Source organism: Homo sapiens, chromosome 7 (assembly GCF_000001405.40).
Source record: "Homo sapiens chromosome 7, GRCh38.p14 Primary Assembly".
In the NCBI taxonomy this organism is placed as follows: domain Eukaryota; kingdom Metazoa; phylum Chordata; class Mammalia; order Primates; family Hominidae; genus Homo; species Homo sapiens.
The window spans coordinates 153,212,415-153,233,767 of record NC_000007.14 but is presented as its reverse complement, the minus strand read 5'-3'; the positions used below and the strand labels follow the sequence as shown (position 1 = coordinate 153,233,767).

At 39.3% G+C, this 21,353-nt stretch overlaps 1 long non-coding RNA gene across 1 annotated transcript in view; it reads right to left on the bottom strand.

Moving 5' to 3' along the window:
- LOC102723686 (uncharacterized) overlaps positions 1 to 21,353 on the bottom strand; it is a 121,255-nt gene that overhangs the window by 69,230 nt on the left and 30,672 nt on the right. The window contains exons 4-5 of the long non-coding RNA XR_007060599.1: positions 7,420 to 9,060; positions 5,228 to 5,321 (exon numbers count right to left, since the gene is read on the bottom strand). This is a non-coding gene — a long non-coding RNA (uncharacterized LOC102723686). The remainder of the gene's footprint in view (positions 1 to 5,227; positions 5,322 to 7,419; positions 9,061 to 21,353) is intronic.

Genomic DNA, 21,353 nt, shown 5'->3' with positions numbered 1-21,353 from the left:
GGAAAGGATATCAGAGACTGAAGATCAACTTAATGAAATAAAGTGTGAAGACAAGATTAGAGAAAAAAGAATGAAAAAGCCTCCAAGAAATACGGGACTGTGTGAAAAGTCCAAACCTACATTTGATTAGTGGACCTGAAAGTGACAGGGAGATTGGAACCAAGTTGGAAAACACTCATCAGGATATTATCCTGGAGAAATTCCCCAACCTAGCAAGACAGGCCAACATTCAAATTCAGGAAGTACAGAGAACACCACAAAGATACTCCACAAGGAGAGCAACCCCAAGACACATAATCATCAGATTCGCCAAGGGTGAAATGAAGGAAAAAAATGTTAAGAGCAGCCAGAGAGAAACATCAGGTTACCCACAAAGGGAAGCCTATCAGACTAACAGTGGATCTCTCTGCAGAAACTGCACAAGCCAGAAGAGAATGAGGGCCAATATTCAACATTCTTAAAGAAAAGAATTTTCAACCCAGAATTTCATATCCAGCCAAACTAAGCCTTAGAAGTGAAGGAGAAATAAAATCCTTTACAGACAAGCAAATGCTGAGAGATTTTGTCACCACCAGGCCTGCCTTACAAGAGCTCCTGAAGGAAGCATTAAACATGGAAAGGAAAAACCAGTACCCGCCACTAAAGATACCAAATTGCAAAGACCATCGACACTATGAAGAAACTGCATCAACTAATGGGCAAAATAACCAGCTAGCATCATAATGACAGGATCAAATTCACACATAACAGTACTAACCTTAAATAAAAATGGGCTAAATGCCCCAATTAAAAGACACAGACTGGCAAATTGGATAAAGAGGCAAGACCCATTGGTGTGCTGTATTCAGGAGACCAATCTCACATGCAAAGACACACATACGCTCAAAATAAAGGGATGGAGGAATATTTACCAAGCAAATGGAAAGCCAAAAAAAAAAAAAAAAAAAAAAGCAGGGGTTCTAATCCTAGTCCCTGATAAAACAGACTTTAAACCAACAAAGATCAAAAAAGACAAAGAAGGGCATTACATAATGATAAACGGATCAATGCAACAAGAAGAGCTAACTATCCTAAATATACATGCACCCAGATTCATCAAGCAAGTTCCTAGAGACCTACAAAGAGACTTAGACTCCCACACAATAATAGTGGGAGACTTTAACACCCCATGTCAATATTAGACAGATCAATGAGACAGAAAATTAACAAGGATATTCAGGATTTGAACTCAGCTCTGGACCAAGAGGACCTAACAGACATCTACAGAACTCTCCACCCAAAATCAACAGAATATACGTTATTCTCAGCACCACATCACACTTATTCTAAACTTGACCATATAATTGGAAGTAAAACACTCCTCAGCAAAGGCAAAAGAACAGAAATCATAACAAACAGTCTCTCAGACCACAGTGCAATCAAATTAGAACTCAGGATTAAGAAACTCACTCAAAACCGCACAATTACATGGAAACTAAACAATCTGCTCCTGAAAGACTATTGGGTAAATAACAAAATTAAGGTAGACATAAATAATTCCTTGAAACAAGTGAGAACAAAGACACAATGTACCAGAACCTCTGGGAAACAGCTAAAGTAGTGTTTACAGAGAAATTTATAGCACTAAATACCCACAGGAGAAAGCAGGAAAGATAAAATTGACACCCTAACATCACAATTAAAAGAACTAGAGAAGCAAGAACAAACAAATTCAAAAGCCAGCAGAAAACAAGAAATAACTAAGATCAGAGCAGAACTGAAGGAGATAGAGACACAAAAAAAACCCTCAAAAAATCAATGAATCCAAGAGCTGCTTTTTTGAAAAGATTAACAAAATAGATAGACTGCTAGCCAGACTAATAAAGAAGAAAAGAGGGAAGAATCAAATGGACACAATAAAAATGATAAAGGGGATTTCACCACTGATCCCACAGAAATGCAAACTATCATCAGAAAATACTATAAACACCTCTATGCAAATAAACTAGAAAATCTAGAAGAAATGAATAAATTCCTGGACACACACACCCTCCCAAGTCTAAACCAAGAAGAAATTGAATCCCTGAATAGGCCAATAACAAGTTCTGAAATTGAGGCAGTAATTAACAACCTGCCAACCAAAAAAAAAAAGCCCAGGACCAGACGGATTCACAGCTGAATTCTACCAAAGGTAGAAAGAGGAGCTAGTACCATTCCTTCTGAAACTATTCCAAAAAATAGAAAAAGAGGGCCTCCTTCCTAATGCATTTTATGAGGCCAACATCATCCTGATACCAAAACCTGTCAGAGATACAACAAAAAAAGAAAATTTTGGGCCAATATCCCTGATGAACATCAATGCAAAAATCCTCAATAAAATACTGGCAAAGTGAATCCGGCAGCACATCAAAAAGCTTACCCACCACTATCAAATCGGTTTCATCCCTGGCATGCAAGGATGGTTCAACATACACAAATCAATAAACATAATCCATCATATAAACAGAACCAATGACAAAAACCACATGATTATCTCAACAGATGCAGAAAAGGCCTTTGATACAATTCAACATCTCTTCATGCTAAAAACTCTCAATAAACTAGGTATTGATGGAACCTATCTCAAAATAATAAGAGCTATTTATGACAAACCCACAGCCAATATCATACTGAATGGGCAAAAGCTGGAAGTATTCCCTTTGAAAACTGGCACAAGACAAGGATGCCCTCTCTCACCATTCCTATCCAACATAGTATGGGAAGTTCGGTCCAGGGCAATTAAGCAAGAGAAAGAAATAAAGGGTATTCGAATAGGAAGAGAGGAAGTCCAACTGTCTCTGTTTGCAGATGACATGATTGTGTATTTAGAAAATCCCATCATCTCAGCCCCAAATCTCCTTAAGCTGATAGGTAACTTCAGCAAAGTCTCAGGATACAAAATCAATGTGTGAAAATCACTAGCATTCCTAGACCAATAATAGACAAACAAAGAGCCAAATCATGAGTGAACTCCCATTCACAATTGCTACAAAGAGAATAAAATACCTAGGAATACAATTTACAAGCAATGTGAGGGACCTCTTCAAGGAGAACTACAAACCACTGCTCAAGGAAATAAGAGAAGACACAAACAAATAGAAAAACAATCCATGCTCATGGATAGGATAAATTGATATCGTGAAAATGGCCATACTGCCCAAAGTAATTTACTGACTCAATGCTATCCCCATCAAGCTACCATTGACTTTATTCACAGAATTAGGAAAAAACTACTTTAAATTTTATATGGAACCAAAAAAGAGCCTGTATAGCCAAGACAATCCTAAGCAAAAAGAATAAAGCTGGAGGCATCACGCTACCTGACTTCAAACTATACTACAAGTCTACAGTAACCAAAACAGCATGGTACTGGTACCAAAACAGATATACAGACCAATGGAACAGAACACAGGCCTCAGAAATAACGCCACACATCTACAACCACCTGATCTTTGATAAACCTGACAAAAATAAGCAATAGGGAAAGGATTCCCTATTTAATAAATGGTGTTGGGAAAACTGGCTAGCCATATACAGAAAACTGTAACTGGACCCCTTCCTTACACCTTATACAAAAATTAACTCAAGATGGATTAAAGACTTAAATGTAAGACCTAAAGCCATAAAAACCCTAGAAGAAAACCTAGGCAATACCATTCAGGACATAGGCATGGGCAAAGACTTTGTGACTAAAACACCAAAAGCAAGGACAACAAAAGCCAAAATTGACAAATGGGATCTAATTAAACTAAAGAGCTTCTGCACAGCAAAAGAAACTATCACCAGAGAGTACAGGCAACCTAAAGAATGGAAGAAAATTTTTGCAATCTATCCATCTGATGAAGGGCTAATATCTAGAATCTACAAGGAACTTAAATTTACAAGAAAAAAACAACCCCATCAAAAAGTGGGCAAAGGATATGAACAGACACTTCTCAAAAGAAGACATTTATGTGGCCAAGAAACATATTAACAAAAGCTCATCATCCCTGGTCATCAGAGAAATGCAAATCAAAACCACAATAAGATATCATCTCACACCAGTTAGAATGGGGATCATTAAAAAATCAGGAAACAACAGATGCTGGAGAGGATGTGGAGAAATAGGAACACTTTTACACTGTTGGTGGGAGTATAAATTAGTTCAACCATTGTGGAAGACAGTGTGGTGATTCCTCAAGGATCTAGAACCAGAAATACCATTTGACCCAGCAATCCCATTACTGGGTATATTCCCAAAGGATTATAAATCATTCTACTGTAAAGACACATGCACATGTATGTTTATTGTGGCACTATTCACAATAACAAAGACTTGGAACCAACCTAAATGCCTATCAATGATAGGCTGGATAAAGAAAATGTGGCACATATACACCATGGAATACTCTGTAGCCATAAAAAAGGATGAGTTCATTTCCTTTGCAGAGACATGGATGAAGCTGGAAACCATCATTCTCAGCAAACTAACACAGGACAGTAAACCAAACACTGCATGTTCTCACTCATGAGTGGGAGCTGAACAACGAGAATACATGGACACAGGGAGGGGAACATCCCACACTGGGGCCTGTTGGTGGAAGGGGAGGTAGGGGAGGGATATGATTAGGAGAAATGCCTAATGTAGATTACAGTTTGATGGGTGCAGCAAACTTCCATGACACATGTATACCTATATAACAAACCTACATGTTCTGCACACGCATTCCAGAACTTAAAGTACATTTTTTTAAAAAAAGAAAATTCTCAAATCAGTCATTCAGCATTTGGAAGTTACATTTTCAAAATGTATTGCTGTGAAGGGTCAAAAATAAACAAAAATTATGTGGTAAAAAAATTAATGTGCTTGAGCACTAAAGAACAAAGATTCAGTCCTTTAACACAAAGATAATCATAGATTACTGTGCTCACCAACACCCCCTTCTCAGGGCCATTGCACTCAAATCCAGCTGCTGAGAATATGGGCTGAGAGCTCACAGCTGCACTTCCCACTGGAATTACCCTCAGCCACGTGGAACAGCATCAGCCACAGTTATGACCTGTCAGGACTTATCAATTCAGGGATACAAAGGAAGAGCCCTTTGCTTCAAACTGGGAGAAATTCGAAGATACATCCGCACTCCAGGCAGAACTGGCTGGAGCCACAGTTGCAACCACACTGCAGTTCAGTTTTTCCCTCTGCCCAATCCTGCATACCCTACTTCCTTACCGTTTCAGTGGTTAGTCCCCCTTGTCATTATTTTGTACATCGTGCTTTCTTCTTTTCTCAATTAAAGGAGCTGGTGCTTTGTGATGTTTGTTAACTTTTGAAAAAAAAAAAAAGGAAAGGTTTCAATTTATGTATTTGGTACACTCTTTTCTACATTCTTATTCTCTGATTTTAACGTTAGTATTTCCTTCTGTGTGCTTTCTTTTGGTTTGCTTTGTTTCCTTTGGATCCCTAGTTTTTTGAACTGATACTTCACTCATTTATTTTCATTTCTATTGATCAGTGTTTAGTCCTATGAATTTTCTTCTAATCACTGCTTTAAATACATCACATAGATTTGATAGGTCGTTTCCACTATCATTAGTTTTTAGAAATTCTTTAATATCAATTTGCATTTCCCCTTTTACCAAGGGTTATTTAATAAAATTTTACTAGATGGAGAGGTCTTTTTTCTTTCAGGATTTTGTTAATAATCTCGAGTTTTATTGTATTGTAAAATAAAAATTTGTTTACAGTATTTTACTCCTTGGAACTCTATTTGTTAATATACAGTTAATTTTTGTAAATATTCCATGTAAACTTGAGAATAAGGCATATTCTCTGTTATGAGAATATCTAGTTTGGTATGTATCCACAGATTATCTTTATAATATTACTTAGGTCTTCCATATCCTCACTGATTTTTTTCAACATGATCTGTCCTGTACTGAAACTGATGTGTTGATATCTCCTTTGTGTTTCTGTTACATCTCCTGTAATTTTTATTTCATAAACATGGTTACAGTGTGAAGTGGTATAGACAAGTTTATTACCACTGTATCTCCATTAAAAATTATGTTTAGCATTTTAAAACATCCTTATTTGTCACATTTAATACTTTTAGACTTCAATTGTAATATTTGGATTAGCAATCTCTTCTCACATTGTTTTCACTCGCCTGGTATACTTCTTCATCTCTTTATATTTAACCTTTCTGAAGTATTTCATTGCAGGTGTATCTCTTGTTAGATAAGTCTTCCATTGCATAACAAATTAAAATCTTTGTATTTTAACAGTGCATTCATAATTGTCAATATGACTACTACTCCAAATAGTAACTTGGTCATAATATTTTAAGTATTATGTTATTTTTGCTTTGTTCTTTTCTCTGCATGGCATTTGTGTTTTGCTCTTTATTTTTAAAACCTTTACTCTTTTGTACTTAGGAATTTTGTATTTTTGTCGTAGTGTTTGTCTTTGTACCTATGTTTTTTTTTTCAGTAGCACCAGCTGTTTTCTTATTTAACTTTTTCCTATCTGATATATCAATATTTAGTGATATACTACAACCCCCACCTACTTTCTAAAAGACAACGGGTGGTTCATTTTTCCTTTCCCTCTATCTTTTCCTCTCTTTGTTAAAGTCATATTATTTCCGTTTTTCATAACACGTAACATTTGTATGCTAGTCTTTCTTCCCTGCCTCTGCCTTTGTTTTAGCCTTGTATGTACAATTATATTGTTATGCAGACGACTGGTCGTTTTGCTGAAATTTTTATAATCATCTCTTATTCCAATGAAGCTCACCCCCCGTTAGACACACAATTCCCTGTGTTGCTGTATGTCTAAAATGGCTTTCTGTAATCTTGGCACTTAGACAGTTTGACTGGAAATAAAGATCCTTTCCCACATTTCCTTTCACATGGATTTTTTTTATTCTGTTCCACTGTTGCTTTGCCTTTCTTTTTATGTTGTTTCTAAGAATTCTAATTACAGCTTATTTTTCTCTCATATGTTACTTAATGTTTTTACCTGAAAGTATTGGGATTAGACTTGTGCTCTAAATTTAAAACTTAGTTAAAAAGAAGACATTTATATAGCAGTGAATTTTAAAAGACAATAAATAACTAAATTCTAAAACTGGTCTAATAAAAAAAGTGCTTGTTTTATCTTGGAAGTCTAATGATTTTACTAGAGTATGTCTTGAAGTTCGTCAGTCATTCCTGCTTTATTTTCCCGGGTATTCTGTGATCTCCTTCATTATGTAAATTTGTGTTATTTTATTACTGGAAAGTTTTCTGGATTAGATTTAAATATTAATTCTGTTCTATTGTTTGGTTTTCTACATCAATAACTTCAATTTTATGTATGTTGTTTCTTATTTATCCTCTAGTCAACCAGTCTCTACTGGGCCTTTTTACATCTTCCTTTACCTTATATTCATTTGCAGATTATTTTCTTGCGTTCCGTCAATTCACTTTATTATCTTCCATTTCGGTCTTCTTCACTCTGAGATGATTTTGTCTTCTTTTTATCATTTCTTTGCTAAGTTCAATCAACTCTGTTCATTTTTTTCTGCTTTTTCTATTTTTGCTTTCAGTTTTCAGATTTCTAATTCAAAGTGGCTCTTCAGATTTGAGATTTTAGTATATTTAACTCATTTTGAATCATTTCTTACATGTTTATTTTTCTTCATGGTTGTTTCTGGTGAGAAGTTTCATCCAGCTGAAATGTGTTAATTCTCACTTTTTGTGTCTTTGTGGTAACTTTGCATAGACTTATTCCATTTCACCCTGTGTCCAGAATTGGTTCCTTCTGGTGGGTTCTTGGTCTCGCTGACTTCAAGAACGAAGCCGTGGACCCTCGTGGTGAGCTGTTACAGTTCTTAAAGATGGTGTGCCCGGAGTTTGTTCCTTCAGACGTTCAGATGTGTCCCGAGTTTCTTCCTTCCAGTGGGTTCGTGGTTTCATTTACTTCAGGAGTGAAGCCGCAGACCTTTGCAGTGAGTGTTACAGCCCTTAAAGGCAGTGCATCTGGAGTTGTTTGTTCCTCCCCGTGGGTTGGTGGGTTCGTGGTCTCACTGACTTCAGGAATGAAGCCACAGACCCTCTGGTGAGTGTTACAGCTCATAAAGAGTGAGCATCAGCAAGATTTATTGTGAAGAGTGAAAGAAGAAAGCTTCCACAGGATGGAAAAGGACCCAATTGGGTTGTTCCTGCAGGCTCCGGTGGCCAGCTTTTATAACCTTATTTGGCCCCACCCACATCCTGCTGATTGGTGCATTTTACAGAGCACTGATTCTTCCACTTTACAGAGTGCTGATTGGTCCATTTTACAGAGTGCTGATTGGTGCATTTACAATCCTTTAGTTAGATGCAGAGTGCTGATTGGTGCGTTTACAATCCTCTAGCTAGACAGAAAAGTTCTCCAAGTCCACACTCGACCAAGAAGCCCTGCTAGCTTCACCTCTCAATACTATTCGTTTTGCATATGAGTGGTGGTTTACAAGATTTCTAGTTTAATGGCTTGTCATCCTCCTCTGTCTGTATAGCAACAGTCTACATTTTTTCAGGGATGAGATTTCTGTTGATGCAGGAAGTGGTTATGTACCCTCTGACTTTCATGTTACCCTTTGCCTTGTAAGACTGTAACTTTTCCTTCCACTTCTTTTATTTTTTACCACCCAGTCACTGCAGTGCCTCCCTCTTAGTTTTTCATCTTTTTCTCTCAGAAGCTGTACCTTTTGAAGACTGCCACTTCAAAGCACATGTATTATAAGTCTCTTCCCTGTAATCAGCACTGTGATGCAGTAATGCACTTTTTTTCCGTATTTTCACAGTTAGGATAACTTTATCATCCTAGTGGTGGTTTCAGAAAGATTTTAGATCTGCTGCTCACTCCCTTCTTCTCTCTTCTATGCAAGATTTTTAAAAAATGTTTATTAGACTGCCTTTGCCTGCAAGAAAGGCTTGCAGCAGAGCCTGAGTTTTATGTGGTTCTCAAGGTTCTTCCCTTGTGCAGTCTTCTGCATTGTGGTGTGGTAGATTTAGGCAGCTATCATTGTCCTCAAGTACCTAGAAGAAAACAAGTACTTTTTTTAGAGATCTGTATAGTCTTAACTTATGCTCTAAATTTACAACTTAATTAAAAAGAAGCCATTTATACAGCAGTGAATGTTAAAATAGATGATAAATAACTAAATTCTAAAACTGGTCTAATAAAAAACTTTACAGGAATTTGGATATGAGAATGAATTTTGAGAGACAGGCTATGGCATAGTGTTTAAGAAGGCAGGCTCTGGAGTCGGTCAGCAGTGAGTTTGAATCATAGCCCTGCTACTCACCAGCTGTGCTGTCTCAGTAAGGATTTTTATGCTCATTTTACAGATCAGGAAGCTGAGGTCTAGAGAGTTAATCACATACCCACTCTCACTGAATACTAATAGCTATGTGAAATAATGCATAAAAAGGGCTTTCATTAGAGTTTATGATGCGTAGCAAATGTTCACAAAGTATTAGCCATTATTATTAACAAAATAATGAAAGAAATTAGGAAGGGCTTCATAGAGTATCAGGGCTTAATGTGTACATTAAAACCTAGGTGATAATGCTGAAAGGGGTTCCTAGGAGAGTTACAGCATGAGTAAAGATGTAGGAGTGATCTGTGGGCCTGCTACATGTGCAAAAGATGGTGACAGGGGGAGCTGCAGGAAAATGAGACAATCCTTTCCCCCATCTGATGATTTATTAGTGATTATTTATTTTGGAAAAGCAGTGGTGGAGAAGATTGGATTGATTTGTGTGCCTGACTGTGGATGGAATTGAATGAGTTGGAGGACTTAGGATTTACCTAATCCAGAGCTACTGGAGAAACTGGACCAGATAAAATCAACAATATGCTCTAATAAAAATGTGTTCTGAGTCTATATACATCTGGAATGATAATATTCAGTAAAGCTAACATAATTTCCCTACGTAAAAACACTCTGAGCGCCAGTAAGCTGGTTTGCATAATGAATCTTCAAACTGCAGATATCATATTCAGCAATATTCCTGAAACTTGAGTATCGTCTGTGACCCTTTTAATGTAAAAATAAAATAAAACACTGAGGTGCCAGTTTGACTAGGGCAGAAATAGAACTCAGAACAGGGCCAGACACGGTGACTCACGCCTGCAATCCCAGCACTTTGGGAGGCCGAGGCGGGCGGATCATCTGAGGTCAGGAGTTTGAGACCAGCCTGGCCAATATGGTGAAACCCCATCCTCTACTAAAAACACAAAAATTAGCTGGACATGGTGGCAGGCATCTGTAATCCTGGCTACTCGGGAGGCTGAGGCAGGAGAATGACTTGAACCCGGAGGCAGATGTTGCAGTAGGCAGAGATCATGCCACTGCACTCCAGCCTGGGTGACAGAGTAAGAGACTCTGTCTCAAAAATAATAATAATAATAATAATAATTAAAAATAAAAAATAAGAACTCAGATCAGTCTGAAATTGGCCTACTAAGGGATGCTATTTGGAAACTGACCATTGCCACTTCATCCAGAAGCAACATAAGACCTAGAGGACATTAAACTCTCATTATAAAGGCTGAATTTTTTACCTGATGCAATCCTCTTTCCACATGAGGGGCATTGTTTATTGCCCTCTAAGTGGTGAGGTCTGAAGATATAAGAAGCCATTAATTCATAACCTTTCCCCAGTTATCTTCACACATTTCTGTAACCTTTTCATTCAAGTCATCTTGCATCCTAAGATTGTCTATGGGCACCTTCCTATCAATCACATCAACCTCTGCTTGGGTTTAAATGTGGTCCCTGAAGGTTCGTGTGTTGGAAACTTGGTTGCCGTTGTGGCGGTGTGGAGCGGTGAGGCTTTGGGTCTTGAGGGCCCACCCTGGTGAGTGGATTAACTCTGTTATCACAGGAGCGCTGCTTCCACCACATGCTGTGTCTTGGCCTCCATGCCAGGAAGCAGGGCAGGCTCCTCTGTTCTTGGAACCCTGCAGTGGAATAAACATCAACTCTTTTTTTAAAAAAATTTTAGTTTTTAAATTTCGTGGGTACATAGTACGTGTATGTATTTATGGAGTATATGAGATACTTGTTATGGGCACACAGTGCATAATAATCACATCATGGAGAATGGGAATATCCATCCCCTCAAGCATTTATCCTGTGTGTTACAAACTATCCAATTACACTCTTTTATTTTTTCATGTGTAAGTAAATTATTTTGACTATAGTAACCCTGTTTTGCTATCAAATACTAGTTTTATTCATTCTTTCTAACTTTTTTTGTACTCATTTAACCATCTCCACCTCCCCAACATCCACTATACCCTTCCCAGCCTCTGTTAACCATTATTTTTCCCTCTATCTCCATGAATTCAATTGTTCTGGTTTTTACACCCCACAAATAAGTGAGAACATGCAATGTTTTCCTGTGCGTGGCTTATTTCACTTAACATAATGACCTCCAGTTCCATCCATGTCGTTCCAAATGACAGGCTCTCATTCTTTTTATGGCTGAATAGTACTCCATTGTGTGCATGTACCACGTTTTTTTTACCCATTCATCTGCTGATGGACACTTAAGTTACTTCCAAATCTCAGCTATTGTGAACAGTGCTACAATAAACATGGGAGTGGAGATATCTCTTCAATGTAGTAATTTCCCTTCTTTCCCCTGCTATTTTCCTTGTATATACCCAGCAGTGGGATTGCTGGATCCTATGGTAGCTCTATTTTTTGTTCTGGAGAAACCACCAAACTGTCCTCCATAGTGGTCATACTAATTTACATTCTCACCAACTGTATACAATAGTTCCGTTTTCTCCACATCCTCTCCAGGACTTGTTATTACCTGTCTTTTGGATAAAAGCAAATGCTGACTCTTGCAAAACCAAATGGACTCCGTTCTCTCATTCCTCTGTCTCCTGTGATGTCTGTCCCATCCTACCTCCATACTCAACCTACCAAGCCTCCAATACACCTTGGATTCTGCATTACTAGGAGTGTGGTTTCTTTGGGGATTAATCTATCATGAAACAGTCATATTGCCTCAAAGAAAAACCAAAATACTGAACATGTGAGCTTGTGTAATCTTTTAGTGGTAACTTTAGAAATGGTCCCACAACAAGGCTCAAAAGAGCTCCCCCAGCTCTTATGGAGTCTGCAGTACTCCAAGGCACAACTCTTCTGCGTCTGTGTCTCTATTGAGGGGCATGCCCATCTGGAGGGGCTCCAGCATCCTTTGCCTTGTCTCAGAGCCTGCAGAAATGACTCGTTTGTCTTCCCAAAAGCCTACAATGCATCAGCTGTGCCTTGAAGCTGCTGTGATGGTCCTTGTTTATCCTGGATGGACAGCAGAGTTTGGGTTAGAGCTAGTGGATTCACCTTCACTCTCTACGAATAGTTTCCATCTCACAAACTCAGAGTCCAACATAAGGGTCTTAAACATCATGATAAGCTTCTCATGAAATCTGTAGATAATCTAATCTTATCAGCCAATGCTAACAAGGCTGCACCTGCCCTCTTTCTCCCTCTCTCTTCTCCTGTGTTGATCACCAGGTGTCTGTCCAGGAGCTGGCCAGCACATAGAAGTACTCTTCAACTCACTGCTGTAAATCAAAAAGCATCTGAGACAGGTCTCAATCAATGCAGAAGTTTATTTTGCCAAGGTTAAAGACATGCCTGAGGGGGAACTTACTGCCTTTCTTTAAAGATGATTCTGAGAACTTCAATGACCAATGGGGCAAAGCAGGCTGGAGAGGAAAGAGGGAGGGTATGGTCACATTACTGAATCCACGTGATGCAAGAAAAAAAGGAGGAGGTAGGGGAACTTTATGCATTCATCTTCTCACACTCAGCACATCGGCACTTTACACAAGATAAGGTGAACATATAGTAGGTACTTGGAGGGAAATTTAACTTTTTGTTTGTAGCTCTTTGCTTAAGAACAAAAGGAAAGGCAGTTTCTTGCATGACTTGGCTTTCAGCTTAATTTTTTCTTTTGGCAGAGTGAATTGGAAATCCCAAGTTTTTATTTTCTTTTCACAGTGTCATCAGAGGCTACTGGCATTTCCTAATTCAACAGGAATTTTGAGAAGACAACTCACCTCTCTCCACCTATTTTGCAAGAGTATTACTGGTATTGTTTTGAAAAAGAATTGGCTTGGATTCAAAGGGCTGTACTCTATCCATGTTATAAGCAACTCACAAGTATGTTTGTTGATTCTAGACTTGGTTACCTCCTATAGTAGCTGTGATGCTCAGCCCAAAAATTCAAGAGAGATAAACAACAGCAACAACAATATTCCTTTTGTCCACCATCTTCATTACATACTGAGGTCCCCATTCCACCAGAACTCTGTTCTGATTAGGATTTTCCCATCTCCAAAGTGCCCAGGCATTTGTGGAGGAGAATCAGTCCTCAGCCACCAGCCCACACAGCTTGCTCCCGAGGTGTCCACAGGGCCCCTCCCTCCTGTAAGTGGACCACCAGCATCTTCAGAAACACTGTCAGTCCCGTCCTTCCAGAGGTTCTGTGCAACCAGCATCCTCTGGTCTCTGGCTACGGCTCCCTCTGATCTCTGGCTACGGCCCCCTCTGGTCTCTGGCTACGGCTCCCTCTGGTCTCTGGCTACGGCCCCCTCTGGTCTCTGGCTGCGGCTCCCTCTGGTCTCTGGCTGCATCTCTAGCAGAAATTCTGAGTAACAGGAGCCAAAAGTCAGTTTTGGTCTCAGTACTGGTCCCTCCCTTGCTTCTGCAAGATCTTCCTAATTTGCCCCAAATTCTCATAAGCTCTCAGCAGGGAGGATGGGTCATACACACCACTTTACCTTAAACTCTCCCACACACTTACTTTCTTGACACGAAATATTAAGCCTGCTCCTTGATCATATGGGTGAATGGATAAGGGGAAATTGTGGGAGGAAAAAGGAATGAGTCATAAATCAATATTGTAAAACATCATTTTGCTGTATGTGTAAAATACACTGATGAAAAAGGAGAGAAAGCAAAATTGTTCCCACACAGGGACAATCATCACCACTGCAGTGGAGCATCCTTTCACAGGTGAGATGAGGAAAAAATTATCAGTAAATCTTGCCTTTGAAATTCAATAGAACTGTCCCAGATGGACCCCTGACAATTACTCATCACTGGGCATGAAATTCTGAGTAACAGGAGCCAAAATTCTGTATGAAGGTGGTTTTACTGCAGAGGTAAGGAAAGATGACAAAGAATGTCCTTTACTGCTGGGTAGGAAGAAAGTGGTCCTGTTGTGGTGCCTGCTAAACCTCAGGACTCGGTGGATCTGACAATGCCCAGTTCTTGACGGGCAGCTCCAGTCACACAGCATTTGATGACCCATGGTCACAGCATGCAATGCCTACTAGGAGCAGGGAAGTGAGACAGGGAAGACAGCAAAGGCAATAACAGTGCATTCATGAGTGGTTTACTGCTGTGAGAAAGTGAGGATCCAACGCCCCTCTGAACCTTCCTATTGAGGGCCGAGGCTGCTGGCATATTTGTCCATAATCTCCCATCCCTCATAGGTCGAGAGGAGGCAGAGGCACAGGGAGTCTTTGTCATGCAGGGCCATTCCCTGGGTCTCTGGGGGCAGGACAGGGGATCTGAGTAGGACACCAAGTGGCAGTCAGGGCACAGGCATGTGGCAAGACAAATTGGGCAGAAGACAGAGAAAGAGGCAAAGAATCACAAGAAAGGGCAAAGCTGAGGCTGCCTCTGTCCCAAATAAGGCAGTCAAATTCAAGGGTCCCCTAAAGGTTGCTCTCCTTCTGCACACAGCCACTCTGCAAACAATCTCAATCCTTCCACAATTGCATCTTCAATACAAAGAAAACAACAAAGGCATAAGCCCTAGTTGAGCTCCATATCAACACAGTCTTACCAGACAGCTTCTGCTGCACATTAGGTAAGAGTGGAAGCCTGGGACCACTGTCTGCATCCAAAGTCCTGCTCTGACTTTGGGTGAGGTTTGGTACCTCTGGTTGCTTCAGGTTCCTCTTCTGTAGACCAGGGACACTAACACAGGTCCTATGATGGTTAATTTTAAGTGTCGGTCTGACTGGATGAAAGGATGCCCAGGTAGCTGGTGAGACATTATTTCTGGGTGTGCCTGTGAAGGTGTTTGTAGAAGAGATTAGCATTTGAATCAGCAGACTGTGTAAGGGAGATCTCCCCTCACCAACGTGGGTGGGCACCAGCCCATCCCTCGAAGGCCCAAATAGAACCAAAAGGCAGCAGAAGTATGAATGTGCTCTCTCTTCTGGACCCAGGACATCCATCTTCTCCTGCCCTCGGACACCGGCACTCCTGTTCTCAAGTATTCAGACTCAAACTGAGTCTGAAGCCACTGGCTGTTCTGGTTCTCCAGGTATTTTTGTTGTTTGTTTTTTGTTTGTTTTAAGACAAGGTATGGCTCTGTTGCTCAGGCTGGGATGCAGTGCTGCAATCTCGGCTCACTGCAACCTCTGTCTCCCAGGTTCAAGTGATGCTCCTATCTCAGTGGGACACCCTCTCTCGAGTTGCTGGGACTACAGGTGTGTGCCACTGTGCCCGGCTAACTTTTGTATTTTTGGTAGAGATGGGGTTTTGCCATGTTGCCCAGGCTGGTCACGAACTTCTGGACTCCAGTAATCTGCTGGCCTCAGCCTCCCAAAGTGCTTGGATTACAGGCATGAGCCACCACACCTGGCATGGTTATCCAGTTTGCAGAAAGCAGATTGTGGGACTTCTTGGCCTCCACAATCACATGATCCAATTTCCATTGTGTGTGTGTGTGTGTGTGTGTGTGTGTGTGATGTTTCTCTGGAGAACCTTGACTAACACAGGTCCATAATCCCATATTCACAATTCGAAAACACAAGAAGCTCGAGAAATGTGGTTTCATAACTTTTCAGCATCACTTTGACCTGAACTAAAATTAGACAATTTATAGTCTAGGCTTTCCTGACTAATCATAAATATTCATATACTGCTTTGAGAAAATGGTAACATGTTTAATAATAAGGTGCTGCTGAGGATGTAACACTATATGTGGTATAGGCAGCATAAAAAGATAGGAAAAGATTTATTCAAACCACATCTGGTCTGAAGGGCTTTAGATAGGGAGTGTGTGGAACCTGTCCACCTGTGTTGTGACTGCAGAGTTCCCCCATTAGTGATGATTCTGGATGCAAACAGTGGTACGTTACGAACACACATGTAGTGCTTACCACGGATCAGGCACCGTTTGAAGCCATTCACATGTAATAACTTATTTATGTATTGCTTACAACCCCCTAACATTCGTATCTTAAATCATCACCAATATTGAAACTTTCCAGTTACAATCACAAGGGACTTCCAACATTGTGGGCAGGAAAATCTTCATGAGTTACAGGTTTTGTAAAAATTTAAAACTGGACTTGTGAAGCCAGCCCCCTTGTGACGAACTGGGAGTAGGCTATCAGCACCACACTGAGAGCGAGTCCAGGACAGAGAGAACCCCCTTCGCTGTGGATGCAGCCGCTCATGATGTTTCATCATCAGCTCATGATGTTTCATCAGCGGTGCAGAAGGCTGGCTCCGCAGGTAACCGTGCATGAGAGCTGCCAAGAGCCAACTTCCATCCAGATGAGAAACCATTATGCGCAGAGTGAGAAGAGTTGGGTGCAGGGAGGGAAAGACAGATGGCCAAGCAGGAGGGAGCTTGCAGTTTGGAAAGCTTGCCTGGCTTTTTTATTTTTTTATTTTTATTTTAATGTTATTTTATTTTATTTTTTGAGACAGGGTCTTGCTCTGTCACCCAGGCTGGAGTGCAGTGGTGCTATCTTGGCTCACTGCAAACTCTACCTCCTGGGTTCAAGCCATTCTCCCGCATCAGCCTCCCGAGTAGCTGGGATTACACTTGCTGGCCATGACACCTGGCTAATTTTTATATTTTTAGTACAGACGGGGTTTTGCCATGTTGGCCACGCTGGTATCAAACTCCTGACCTCAGGTGATCCACCCACCTCGGCCTCCCAAAGTGCTGAGATTACACGCGTGAGCCACCGCACCCAGAGGGCTTTTTTATTTAAAATGACACCCCTTAGTCACTGGTAAGTTGCAGTGCTAGTAATGTCAGCACTCACTCAGGAGGCTGGACAGGGAATGCACCAAAGCAGGATTTACGAGCTGGCCGAGGGGTGGCATCCAGCTTCTGAAGGCCTCGCACTGACAGTAGATTGCCAAGTCCTCCCCATAATATGTTCATTATTGATATTCTTACTGCTAAATGATTGAACTGAAAGATGGATAGTGAGGGAAAACAAATCCACACTGATTTAGCTTGCAGGTGGAATGTTCCCCCAATTGAGATGATCTACCCAGACATTGGAATCATAATATGATAGAAAAAAAAAGGGTGATGTGGCCGCATGCAGAGCAGCGGGGCAGGAAAGCACAGGGTTTGCCAGCAACTCGGCAAGGTGCCAGCTTGGATGTTCCTCGTTTTGTTTTTAATGGCTGACTCACTCTCATCATGATGTTTTCTGGAGCGTACGAAATACGGAAGGACCTGGCATGACACTGGGATCATCTTACAGTTGTCAAAGCTGGAATTGGTATTTTTCCTTGGCACAGAGAAAGACTACAATAGTCAAAAAATGAAAACAATAAACAAAAACAATAACAAAAACAGCAAACTCTAGGGAAGGGGGAGAATCTGCTTTCCAGAGCTCCCACATTATTAGATTCAAATGTCCAGCCTTTAACAACAACAACAAAAACTGTAAAGCATATGAAGAAACAGCAAAACATGGCACATTCAAAGGAAAAAATTATCCAACAGAAACTGTCCCTGAAAAAGATCTGATGACTGATCTGCTAGACAAAAAGTTTTAAATAACCATCTTAGAGATGTTTGAAGAACTAAAGGAAGATAAAGAAAAAGTCAGTAAAATGATGTATGAACAAAATGGAAATATCAATAAAGAGAAAGAAAGCTTAAAAACAAACAAAAAGAAATCTTGGAGCTGAAAAGTACAATAACTAAAATTTAAAATTTACTAGAGAGGGATTCAAAGGCAGATTTGAGCAAGGATAAGAAAGAATCAGAGAACTTGAAAATAGGACAATAGGAATTATCAAGTCTGAGCAATAGAAAGAAAAAATAATTGGATAAAAGCAAATAGAGCCAAAGAGACATGTGAGACTTCATCATGGGAACCAACACATGCATTGTGGGAATACCAGAAGGAGAAGAGAGAGAGAAAGGGGAAGAGAAAATATTTTTAAAATAATCACTGAAAACTTCCCAAACTTGATGGAAGACATGAATATAAAATTCAAGAAGCTCAACAAATTTCAAGTAAGAAAAACTCAAAAAGATCCACACAATATAATCAAACGTTTAAAAACAGAGTCTCAAAAACAGCAAGAGACAAGAAACTCATCACATGTAAGTGACTGTCACTAAGATTAACAATAGATTTATCATGCAAAAGTTTGGAAGCCATGAGGCAGTGGACCAATACCTGCAAAGTGTTTAAAAACAAAAAAAACAAAAAAAACCTTGTCAACCAAGAATCCTATATCCAGCAAAACCATGTTTTCAAAAGTGAGGGAGAAATTAAGACATTCACAGATAAAAAAAAGGCTGAGGGGTTCATAACTACTAGACCTTCCCTACAAGAAATGCTCAACAGAGTCCTGCAGGGTGAAATGAAAGGACACTAGACAGTAATTCCAAGCTATATAAAAAAATAAGACTGGGTGCGGTGGCTCATGCCTGTAATCCCAACACTTCAGGAGGCCGAGACGGGTGGATCACAAGGTCAGGAGTTTGAGAAAAAGTAAAGATCCCAACAACGGTAAGTACATGGACGATTTTAAAAGCTAGTTTTGTTATAACAACAGTCTATTTTCTATGTGATTTAAGAGAAATCAGTGACAGGAGAAATATTGGGAAACTTGCAAATAAATGGAAATTAAACAGCTTGCTTCTGAAAAACCAATGGGTCAAGCAAGAAATTAAAAGAGAAATGTAAAAATATCTTGAGACAAGCTAAAATGAAAATGCAACATACAGAAATTTATGGGATGCAGCAAAAGCAATTCTGAGAGGGAATTTTATAGTAATAAACACTTACATCAAAAAGAAGACTATCTCAAATAAACAACCTAAAGTTAAACCTCAAGGAAGTAGAAAAAGATCAAAGTAAGCCCAAACAGCAGAAGGAAATAAAGATTAGAGCATAGACTAATACATTGAAAGAATAACAATTATTAATCTAAAAGCTAGTATGATTATAACTTTGTTTTGTAACTCCACATTTTGTTTTCTACATAATTTAAGAGACTAATGCATTTTAAAGAATTATTAGCTTATGTTTTGAGACACACTATGTATAAACCTACATCAGAAATATCATGGGTTCAGGTCCAGACTACCACAATAAAGCAAATATCGTAATAAAGAAAGTCACACACATTTTTTGGTTTCCAAGTGCATATAAAAGTTATGTTAATACCATTCTGTTGTCTATTATGTATATAATAGCATTATGTCTTTAAAATGCACATACTTCAATTTAAAAATATTGTATTTCTTAAAATGCTAATGAGGTAAGCACATGCTGTTGAAAACAAATCATGCCAATAGACTTCCTCAACACAGGGTTCCTGCAAACCATCAATTTGTAAAAAATTCAAGACAAAGGGCAATAAAGAAGGTCAATAAAGACAAAAAAATTAGGTATGCTTATAAAAGGATATAATTTTGTGACATCAACAACTAAAAGGAGTGGGGATGGAGCTGTAAAAAAGCAGAATATTTGTATGTTGTTAAAGTTAAACTAATATAAATTTATTATTATCTTTTTTTTGAGATGGAGTCTTGCTCTGTCGCCCAGGCTGGAGTGCAGTGGCACGATCTCAGCTCACTGCAAACTCCGCCTCCTGGGTTCACGCCATTCTCCTGCCTCAGCCTCCCAAGTAGCTGGGAGACTATAAGCGTCTGCCACTACACCCGACTAATTTTTTGTATTTTTAGTAGAGATGGGGTTTCACCATGTTAGCCAGGATGGTCTCGATCTTCTGAACTTGTGATCCGCCCCCTCAGCCTCCCAAAGTGCTGGGATTACAGGTGTGAGCCACTGCGCCCGGCCTAAACTAATATAAATTTAAATTAGAGTATTACAACCTTAGGATGTTAAATGTAATCCCTATGATATCCGTAAAGAAAATAGCTATAGAACATACACAAAACGAAATGATAAAACATTTCAATACCAAAAAAATCAAACAAACACAAAAAAAGACAGTGATGTAAGAAATGAGAAACAAAAAAGCCATAAGATGTATGGAAAACAGGTAGTAAAATGACAAAAGTAAGTCCTTTCTTATCGTTGTCCAATTAAAAGACAAAGAGTAGCAGAATGCATAAAAATACATGATCTAATTATATGAGGACTACAGGAGGCTCACTTTAGATCCAAAGACACAAATAGGGTGAAAGTGAAGGGATGGAAAAAGGTTGAAGAACTCATGCAAATACTCACCAAAAGAGAGCAGGGATGGCTATAAAGGTTCAATGTCTCTTATCTAAAATACTTGGGACCAGAAGCGTTTTAAATTTTAGATTTTTTATTTTAAAATATTTGCATTACAGTTACTGATTCAGCATCCCAAATTCAAAAGTTCAGAATCTAAAATGCTCCAATGAGCATTTCCTTTGGGCATCATATGATTGCCCAAAAAGTTGCAGATTTTTAAAAATTTACAAAAGACAAGGAAAGACATATATTAATAAAAATGTCAATAGAGTAAGAAGTTATAATTATAGGCCAGGCATGGTGGCTCAAGCCTGTAATCTCAGCACTTTGGGGGGCCAACATGAGAGAATCACTTGCGCTCAGAAGTTCCAGACCACTCTGGACAACATAGTGAGGCCCCATCTCTACCAAAAGTTTTAAAAAAAATCCAGGTGTGGTAGTGTGTGCCAGTAGTCACAGCTATTTGGGAGACTGAGAAGGGAGGATTGTTTGAGCCTTGAAGTAGAGACTGCAGTGAGCTATGATCGTGCCACTGCACTCCAGCCTGGGCAACAGAGTGAGACCCTATCTCAAAAAAACAAGAAATTATAACAATTATAAATATTTAAACACTTAATTACAGACTATTAAAACAGACAAAACAAAACTGACATAATTGAAGGCAAAATAGTTCTATAATAATAGTTGAAGACTTCAATGCTCCCCCCCCAGTAATGGATAGAACAACATACAGAGGATAAATAAGGAAAGAGAGGACTTAAACAATACAATAAACCAACTAAATATAACACACATATACAGAACACTCTGCCCAATAGTG